We start from the raw sequence: 10,639 nt of genomic DNA on the forward strand, positions 1-10,639 counted from the left end.
GCAAAGAATGTCATTGGCATTTTGATAGGGATTGCATTGAATCTGTAAATTGCCTTGGGTAATATCGACATTTTAACAATATTGATTCTTCCAATCTATGTACATGGAATATCTTTCCATTTTTTGTGTGTTCTCTTAAATTTCTTGCATTAATTTTTATAGTCTTCATTGTAAAGATCTTTCACTTCTTTGGTTAATTCCTAGGCTTTTAATTTTATTTGCAGCTATTGTAAATGAGATTACTTTTTTGTTTTATTTTTCAGATTGTTCACTGTTGACATATAGAAATGCTACTGATTTTTGTATGTTGATTTTGTATCCTGCAACTTTATTGAATTCATGTTTATCAGTTCCAATAGTTTTTTGATGGAGTCTTTAGGTTTTTCCAAATATAAAAGCATATTATCTGCAAACAAAGATAATTTGACTTCTTTCTTTCTAATTTGGATTCCTTTTATTTCTTTCTCTTGTTTGATTGCTCTAGCTAGGACATCCAGTACTATGTTGAGTAACAGTGGTGAAAGTAGCCATCCTTTTCACGTTCCAAATCTTAGAGGAAAGGCTTTCAGTTTTTCCCAATTCAACATGATACTAGCTGTGTGTCTGCTGTAGATGGCTTTTATTGTGTTGAGGTACGTTCCTTCTGTACCCAGTTTTTTTTGTATTTTTGTTTGTTTGTTTTTGAGACAGGGTCTCACTCTGTCACCCAGGCTGGAGTGCTGTGGTGCAATCTCGGCTCACTGCAACCTCCACTTCCCAGGCTCAAGGGATTCTCCCACCTCAGCCTCCTGAGTAGCTGGAAGTACAGGCACATGCCCACATGCCTGGCTAATTTTTTTTTTCTTTTTTTGTAGAGACATGGTTTCGCCATGTTGCCCAGGCTGGTCTCAAACTCTTAGTGTACCCAGATTTTTAAGGATTTTGATTTTTATCATGAAGGAAGGGATCTTGAATTTTGTCAAGTGCTTTTTCAGCATCATATGGCTTTTGTCCTTCATTCTGTTGATGTTATGTGTCACATAAATTGATTTGCATTTATTGAATCATCCTTAGGATAAATGCCACTTGATCATGAAGAATGATCTTTTAAATTTGTTGTAGATTTCAGTTTGCTAGTATTTTGTGGAGGATTTTTGCATCAGTGTTCATCAGGGGGATATTGGCCTGTAGTTTTCTTTCTCTTTCTTTCTTTCTTTCTTTCTTTCTTTCTTTCTTTCTTTCTTTCTTTCTTTCTTTCTTTCTTTCTTCCTTTCTTTCTTTCTTGTTTCTTTCTCTCTTTTGACATGTCTTTGTCTGGTTTTTGTATCAAGGTAATACTGGCCACATAGAATGAGTTCAGAAGTATTCTTTCCTCCTCTAGTTTTCAGAATAGGTTGAGTAGGATTGGTGTTAGTTCTTCTGTAAATGTTTGGTAAGATTCAACAGTGAAGCCACTGGGTGCTGAGCTTTTCTTTGCTGAAAGACTTTTTATTATGGCCTCAGTCTTGTTACACGTTGTCTGTTCAGGTTTTGGATTTCTTCATGGTTCGATCCTGATAAATTATATGTGTCTAAGAATTTATTCATTTCTTCCGGATTTCCCAACTGATTGGCATATATAGCCAGTCTATGTCTTTTTTTATTTTTTGAGACAAGATCTCCCTCTGTTGCCCAGGTTGCAGTGCAGTGGTGCAATCATGGCTCACTGCAGCCTCAAACTCCCTGGCTCAAGTGATTCTCCCACCTCAGCCTCCTGTGTAGCTGGGACCACAGGTGCATGCCACCATGCTTGGCTAATTCCTTTTTGGAAAGATTGGGTCTTCCTATATTGCCTTGGCTGGTCTCAAACTCCTGGACTCAAGAGATCCTCCTACCTCCGCCTCCCAAAGTGCTGGGATTACACATATGAGCCACTGTGCCTGGCTCACTCTGTCTTTTGATTGGAGAGTTTATTTCATCTACATTCAATGTTATTATTGATAAGTAAGGGCTTACTTCTGCCATTCTGTTATTTGTTTTCTGGTTTTGTGGTCTTCTCTTCCTTCTTTCCTTCCTTCCTGTCGTCCTTTCAGTGAAGGTGATTTTCTTAGGTGGAAGGTTACTTTTTGTGTATCTGTTGTATGTTTTTTGATTTGAGGTTACCATGAAGCTTGCAAATGATATCTTATAATCCATTATTTTAAACTGATGACAACTTAACATTAATTGCATAAACAAACTAATAAACAAGCAGAGAAAACTAATACAAACTCTGCACTTTAACTTTATCCCTCTGCTTTTTGACTTTTACTTGTTTCTTGTTTCTATTTATATCTTCTTATACTCTCTATGTCTGGAAAAGTTGTTGTAGTTATGATTCTTTGAGAGGTTCATCTTTTAGTCTTTCTACTCAATATATGAGTAGTTTGCACACCACAATTAGTGTTATAATATTCTGTGTATTTCTGTGTACTTACTATTACCAGTGAGTTTTGTACCTTCAAATGATTTCTTATTGCTCATTAGCATCCTTTTCTTTCAGATTGAAGAAATCCCTTTAGCATTTCTTGTAGAACAGGTCTGGTGTTAATAAAATCTTTTTTTTTGGCGGGGGGTGTCTGGGAAAGCCTTTATTTCTCCTTCATGTTTGTAGAATATTTTCACTAGATATGCTATTCTAGGATAAAATTTTTTTCCTTCAGCACTTTAAATCTTGCCACTCTCTCCTGGTCTGTAAGATTTCCACTGAGAAGTTTCCTGCCAGACGAATTGGAGCTCCTTTGTATGTTATTTGCTTCTTTTGCTGCTTTTAGGATCATTTCTATATCCTTCACCTGTGGGAGTTGATTATTGAATGCCTTGAGGTAGTCTTATTTGAGTTAAATTGGTGCTCTATAACCTTCTTGTACTATGTTGATATGTTTCTCTAGATTTGGGGAGTTCTCTATTATTATCCATTTGAATAAACTTTCTACCCCCATCTCCCTCTCTACCTCCTCTTTAAGGCCAATAACTCTTAGATTTGCCTTTTTGAAGCTATTTTCTAGATCTTGTTGGTGTGCTTCATTCTTTTATATTCTTTTTTATTTTGTCTCCTCTGACTGTGTGTTTTCAAATAACCTGTCTTCAAGCTCACTAATTCTTTCTTCTGCTTGATCAATTCTGCTGTTAAGAGACTCTGATACATTCTTCAGTATGTCAATCACATTTTTCAGCTCCAGAATTTCTGCTGATTCTTTTTATTTCAATCTCTTTGTTAAATTTCCTTCTCTGTGTTATCTTGGATTTTGTTGAGCTTCCTCAAAACAGCTATTTTGAACTCTCAGTCTAAAAGGTAATATATCTGTGTCTCTCTAGGACTGGTCCGTGGTGCCTTATTTAGTTCATTGGTGACATCATGTTTCCCCGGATGGCCTTGATGCTTGTGGGTGTTCATCAGCGTCTGGGCATGGAAGAGATAGGTATTTATTGTAGTCTTCACAGTCTGGACTTGTTTGTACCCATCCTTCTTGGGAAGGTTTTATAGGTATTTGAAGGGACTTGGATGTTGTGATCTGTCTTCGATCACTGCAGCTGTATCTGCACTGGGGGTACTCCAAGTCTAGTAACACTATGGCTCTTGCAAACTTGTAGAAGTACCGCCTTGGTGGTCTTGGGTAAGATCCAGAAGAATTCTCTGGATTACCAGGCAGAGACTCTTGTTCTCCTCCCTTACTTTCCCCCCAAAAAATAGAATCTTTCTCTGTGCTGAGCTGTCTGGAGCTGGGGGAGGGGTGACATAAGCAGCCTGATGGCCATCACCACTGGGACTGTGCTGTGCATCAGCACAGCACTGGGTCTTGCCCAAGGCCTGCAGCAATCACTGCCTGGCTACCATCTATATTCACTCAAGGCCCAAGGCCTCTACAATCATGCGGTGGCAAATCCAGCCAAGATTGTGTCCTTAAGAATGGTGAGATCCTCCTGGCCCCAGGTGGGTTGACAGATGCTGTCTGGGAGCTAGGGCCTGGAGTCAGGAATCAGGAATCTACCCTGTGTTCCATTCTACTGCAGCTGAGCTGGCACCCAAGCCACAAGACAAAGTCCTTCCCACTCTTCCCTCCCCTTTCCTGAAGCAGAGGAGTCTCTCCCCATGGCCACCACCACCCCAGGCCCATGGCAAGTACTTCCTAGCCACTGCCGATGTTCACTCAAGGCCCAAGGACTCTTCAATCAACTTGTGGTGTCAGTCCTGAGCCTCTCCCTTCAGGGAAATGGGTTTCCCTGCGGCCCAGGGCAGTTATAGAAATGCCATCCAGGAGCCAAGTCCTGGAATTAGAGACCCCAGAAGCCCATTTGTTGCCCTACCCCCACTTTGGTAAAGCTGGTACCCAAGCTGCAAGACAAAGTCCCCTTTACTCTTCCCTCTCCCTTTCTCAAGGAGGGAGGGGGTCTCGCTCCATAGCCACCACAGCTGGAGATATGCTGGGTTACGTCTGAAGCCAGCATTTCTCTGAGTTTAACCCAAGGCTTATAGCAAATACAGCCCGGCTGCTGCTGCTAATTATTCAGGGCCCATAGGCTCTCTAGTCATCAGGTGATGAATTCTGCCAGGCCTGGCTCCTTTCCTTCAAAGGCAATAGTTTCTCTTCTGGCCCAGGGTATGCTAGAAATGACTTCCAGGATTTAGAGCCTGGAATGGGGGACCTCAGGACTCTTCCTGGTTTCTTATTCTACTGTGGTTGAACTGATATCCAAGTGGCAAGACAAAGTCCTCTTTACTCTCCCCTCTCCTCTCCTCAAGCAGAGAGAAGGAGTCTCTCCCTGAGCTGCACTGCCTGTGGCTGGGGAAGGGATGATGCAAGCACTCTTTTGGCCACCCCAGCTAGTATCTCATTAGGTCATGTGCACCCCAAGTCCACTGCTCTGAGTCCAGCACAGCACCAGGACTTGCCAAGGAATTGCAATTCTTGCGGCCTAAATTGCCATTCAAGTTTATTTAGGATCCCAGGGTGCTTTAGCCCATGGTTGCAGGATCTGCTGGAACTCAAGTTCTCATCACCAAGATGGACAATTTGCCCCTGGCTAGGGCTGGTCTAAATACTCCCTCTTTGGGTGTTGGCTGAGTTTTACCTTGTGTTGTTTTCTGCTATGACACGGCAGCACTGAGTTCCAATGCAAAGTCCCACAATCAGTGTGCTCTCACTCCCCACTGTGCTCTCACTCCCTCAACATTCTCTCACTCCCCTATTCTCTCTTCGTTCCATGAGGCCACTGCTAGAGGATGGAGAAGGATCGTATAGCTGACTCAAGACTGTCTTTCCTACCCTCTTCAGTGCCCCTTTTCTTAATATGATGTTAAAACCAGGGACTGTGGTCACTCACCTGATTTTTGGTTCTTATGAACATGCTTTTTTTCTGTGGATAGATGTTCTGTTTGGTGTTTCGTGGGAGGGACAATCGCTGGAGGCTTCTATTCAGCCATCTTGTTCCGCCTTCTCATCTCTATTTCTTTATATTGATTTGTGAACATCTTCAAAACCCTGCATCCTTGAGAATCTTCAGTCCTTCAGTGTCATTTGAATAGTTCAGCTGGATCTCACTGGTTTATTCCTTTAAACAAATAAAATATCATACCTTTTCCACTAGGCTACAGAACCAATAACGCAAGGAGGGGTAAAACGGGAAAGAATTTGAGTGGAAACCTCTGAGGAAAAATGTGGTTTCCATGGCGGAAGAAAAGTTGACATTTCATTAAATTGTATTAGACAATAAACTTATTGGGTGTTAGATTACCTCTCCCCAAAGTCCTATAAAACACCCAGGATAGTATAATTTACCTGTCAGGAGGTCTTCAAGTATTTGTTGATTATTGCAGGCTGAATCTTCCCTTAGCTGATGAAGGTGGGGTGAAGTCACTTTAAGAATTTAACTTTAAATCTGTTCTAGTATTATTCCTTACCTGCCATATGGCATATCTACATCACCTTCTTTTTTTGCATCTCTCTGGGAGTTCCAAGGTGGGGTTGGAATGTCTTGAATATTATTTGAGCTGTTTCCCAATCGTCTTTCCCTTCTCAGTCCTCTGGCTGTTGTTTCTGTTGTCTAGAGTGTGCTGTTATTCTGCTCAACCATATTGATGCCCTCTGGATTGGACTGAGAGGGCTCAGTAATGTTAATCCTCTCTTCTACACAAGATCTGAACCCCCTGAGAAATAAGACAAAGGACTAACATGGAAAGAGGCCAAGATAGCATCTTCGTTACTGACAAAACTAAGTTGAAGGACCTAGCTTTTACCCGTGGCCTCGTGCACCTTCTACTGTTTGAATCAGGCCTACTTGGCCACCCAGTCCCAGGAAGGACTGAAGCCCCTCTGCAGATTTCCCCTTGGAGGATCAGTTTCCTAGGCGATTTGTCATGGAGAGGTAGAACACAGTGTGTGACTCGGGGAGCTTACTCTCAGAAGGAATAAGGAAGAAACTGAGCTGACTATGCCCAGTTTATTCTGCCCAAATTTACAGATCAGTTAAGTTTTTCCAGCTCTCCTGGAAGGGAGTGAATAAAGGAGCAGAGGGAGGCCAAGAGTGTCACTCTTATCAAGCTCAGCCCACAAAATTTAGAACCTCAAGAGTGGTGCAGAAGTATTTACCCTCCAATACCACACAGTGTTTTTCTGAAAGGCCCCAACATGGTCTTTGGCCTCTAATGCCACTGGGGTTTCCTGACTGTAGACCTCTGATATTTACCTCTCTCTCTGACCAATTCATTTCTCTCTCCTTCACCTTTTCATGTGCTGTTCCTTTCATAAAGCAGAGGGCCACAGTAAAATTAGAGTAGGAGGATGGCTAGAATTATAATTCTAGATGGAATATTTTGTTATTGTTTGGTTTTTTTTTTTTTTTTTGTAACCAGTTTATTGAATGGTCTAAACTCAGTAGAGTTCAAACATAAAAAAAATTATTTCTTCCAGTGACTGCTCCTAAAAAAGTTCTGGTGAGCTCACCTTCCCTCCCCTAAATGATATTTTAGGTAAAACTTTATGGTTATTTTTGGGTATAAAAATATTCAGTATAATACAATTGATCCAGTTTAAAACTTCAAACTCATATCCAACTTAATTCTCTTCCTCCTAACTAAGGGAGTGTGCTTTTCTCTTTCATTTTTCTTCCTTCCTCTCCTGGCTTTCCTTTTCTTCTCCACTATTTTTGGGCCTTAAAAACAGGTGGGGAAGAGGGAATAAAATTCTTCTATTTAAGTGGGTCTATTTGGTCCTTCCTTCCTTGGAGGTCAGTAGCTATTTATGGCAGAAGTCTAAATGCTGAGCTTCTCATGGACTCAAAGTGAGTCCTTAATAGGATCCTGTAAGATTCCCTTTTTTTTTTTTTTTTTTTTTGAGATGGAGTCTCACTCTGTCACCCAGACTGGAGTGCAGTGGCATGATCTTGGCTCACTGCAGCCTCTGGCTCCTGGATTTAAGCAATTCTCCTGCCTCAGCCTCCCAAGTAGCTGTAATTACAGGTGCCCACCACCACACCCAGCTAATTTTTGTATATTTAGTAAAGATGGGGTTTCACCATGTTGGTCAGGCTGGTCTTGAACTCCTGACCTCAAGTGATCTGCCCACCTTGGCCTCCCAAAGTGCTGGGATTACAGATGTGAGCCACCATGCCCAGCGATCCTCTAAGATTCTTACACAGCACAGGACCTACTACGGAAGATGCACTCTGGCATCATTTCTTTTAATACTGCACCCCACCCTGGGTTCCCATTCTCAGTAAGACTCATACAATCACCTTAGCCAAACACAGCATAAGTTTACTTAATTCTCACTTAACAGTGTTGAGTTAAGTGAACTCTTCACCCTGAGGTCTGCTGTGCTCCACAGGATCATTCAAGAATCCAGGATTCCTCGTTTATATCTGCATTTGAGCCTGTGGGAAGGGGAAAGAGAAAGTCAGAGTTAGTAGCTTTGTCTTTAAAGCAATTATTTGGAAGTTTCCATAGGTCACTTCCACTAACATCCTGTTGGCTTGAACTTAGTCACATGTCCATACCTAGCTGCAAGGGAGGCTAGGAAAATGTAATCTTTTGTGGGCTGGCTATATAATCCTCTGAAACCCTGGAGGTCTTTTTAATCACTAAAATGGAAAAAAGGAGAATGGATATTGGAGCAGAATTGAGTAGTCTCTGCCTCTGTTATATCTGAGATCATCTTCTTAATGTACTCCAAACCACTCTGCCTTCAGGCCCTTGTTGCTAAGTGTGGACCACAGTGACAGACTTCCACCCCATTTCCTCTAGACCCAGTGACCCTCTCTGTGATGTCTTCCTGTTTCCATTTTACCATCCACCAAACATGTCTGTAGATACCTGAACCCCAATTGGAAACATGTTTTCATGTTCTTTCTTACTGTGACACATGCCATTCAAATCACTGGTAAGTGATGCATGTGTCACCTTAGGATGCCTGTGGAACACATCGTAGGGACACCACACCTAATCCATGTAGAGAGGGAAGAGTTGGGAAAGGCTGCCTGTATGACAGTGATGCCTGATAAGAGTTCTGAAAGAGTAGGGGTAGTTTGTGGATAGGTGTCATAAGCAACAAGAACTAGAAGAGAAGAGAAGAGGGACCTGATGCATTTACAGAACAGCAAATAGGACACTATTGCTTGAGAGTCAAGTGTGGGCAGAAGTGTGGGATATTTTTAGAATATGAGGCTACAGGGGTAAACAAGAAGCAAATGATGTAGGCCTTTGTATACTTTGACTTTATCTTGAGGCCAAATGGGATTTCATGGAGAACTTTAAGCAAGGAAGTGTGACCCAAACCAATCTGCATTTGCAAAAGACAATTCTGACAGCTGGTGAAGCGTGCATTGAAGCAAACAAGACCAGGCCCTGCCAGGACAGTTGGGAGGTAATTGGAGAAACCTAAGGGAAAAAAAATTAAGGTCCAGAAGTAAAATGATAGAACTGCCAACAAAGCTCGTATATTCTTTCCATGATAATAACAATTTTATTCTCCGTTTGTACACTGTCTCATTCCAAAAAGGATAGGGGTTGAATTTCACAAATTCAGCAAATATTGTAGTGAATATGAATCTCAGTCTAAAAATTCAGATGTGCAAGAAATATTATTTCTTTCATTTTCTGTAAATCAAACTTAATTTCTAATCTAAGCCCACTCTTGCTGGGTAGATGGGAAATTCAGTCTCAGCCATTTTGAGGATTCCCTCCTTCACATTAGTACAAAAGCTCCAGAGTCCTACATAACTGTAAGACATTGAGGGGGTTCCGCTGATGCTTAGTGCCCTGGTAATGAGGAGATAGTCACCGTGCCAGTTCACACAGCTCCAGTGGCTTTGCTGATACCAAGTTATGCCTGCTGCTCAGAGTCCTAGGCCAGCATATGGAACGGCCATGGTTCTTACCTGGGGTCTTTCTACTTTTCTAGAGTTCTGCCTCCCTTTGCTCTCTCTAAACCCACAGATACAAAGAGACTCTGGGAATCTCTTGACAATGTGGGAGAATTGCCCCTTTCCACGTTTCTCTTAGAACCCTTTTTTCTCCACCGAGGACACTTAGCTCAACCTCCTTAAAGGCTTTAAACATTTCCAAACAAATTCAGAAGGAGAAGTCAACCATAATTTTACCAGCTCTGAAGCAAGAAAGCACAGAATCTGTAAACTGCATTCATAGAAAAAGGAGAAGAAAATTCAAAAATTAACATGTCAAAAATGGTCCTATCTCAATACCATGATTTTTTTCAAATGTCAAAAATGGTCCTATCTCAATACCATGATTTTTTTCAAATATAAAGAATTTATGGTGAAAGAGAAATAAAATTAAAAATGAATGAGAAAATTAATGCGTTGAAAATGCTTTCAAGCTTAGGTTCATGACGTCAGCTCTGAGCTTTCTAGTGACCAAATCAATAACTCAACAACTGTTCATGGGTTATAAGCCACCCCAATCTACGGTATTCTGTTATAACGGCCTGAACTCATGAAGGCAACAACTGATAAAAATAAATCTGCTAAAGAAAGCATACCAGTTTTTCAGGACCAAAATGGTTTTACCTGGCCCTGGGATGAGTGGAAGATTTTTTTCACTGGATCCTTCTAAAGAGAACACTTTATAATGCAGGCACCCCCACGTTCAACATTATCCTTACAATAATGACTTCTGTCACATTGTTTTTTATAACAATATAGGCACCAGAGATTTAAAAAAACAACAAACAATTCAAAAAGTGGGCTTTGGTCTAGTCAAGGATGCAGATAAACAGATAATTGCCACCTGCTATTAAAGCGTCATCATAGAGGTGTTGTACAAAGTGCAAAAGGAGCCCAGATGAGGCAGAGCAATGATATTGGAAGCAGGTGTCCAAGGATGCATTCATGTTGCTAGAAGAAGAAAGGATGGAGGGAGCCCAGCACCCAAAGATCATGGGGGCTAGAATGAGGTTGGAAAATGCTCAGGTCATAATAAGCAGAAAAACACAATCCCATATTCAAAAGAAATGTATACAAAATACTAAAAGGAAATCCATGACTATTATTAGTTGTTGTTGTCTTTGGGCTGCCATAACAGCATACCATAGATTGGGTGGCTTACTGGCCAGGTGCAGTGGCTCACGCTTGTAATCCCAGCACTTTGGGAGAGAGTCAGCAGATCACCTGAGGTCAGGAGTTCAAG

At 41.4% G+C, this 10,639-nt stretch overlaps 1 long non-coding RNA gene across 3 annotated transcripts; it reads right to left on the reverse strand.

Annotated features, from left to right (window-relative positions):
- Positions 1-243: 243 nt before the first annotated feature.
- LOC105378766 (uncharacterized) lies at positions 244-7,867 on the reverse strand. Of its 3 annotated transcripts, none has more exons than XR_007066144.1 (3): positions 7,732-7,867; positions 5,323-5,550; positions 244-3,400 (listed from the first exon to the last, which is right to left on the reverse strand). It is a non-coding gene; the product is annotated as an uncharacterized LOC105378766 (long non-coding RNA). The 3 variants fall into 3 exon arrangements; XR_007066145.1 differs by having other exon boundaries at positions 1,247-3,400; positions 7,769-7,867; XR_001738094.2 differs by having other exon boundaries at positions 1,272-3,400; positions 5,323-6,145.
- Between the last annotated feature and the right edge of the window lie 2,772 nt (positions 7,868-10,639).

This window comes from Homo sapiens, chromosome 1 (assembly GCF_000001405.40).
Source record: "Homo sapiens chromosome 1, GRCh38.p14 Primary Assembly".
Lineage (NCBI taxonomy): Eukaryota > Metazoa > Chordata > Mammalia > Primates > Hominidae > Homo > Homo sapiens.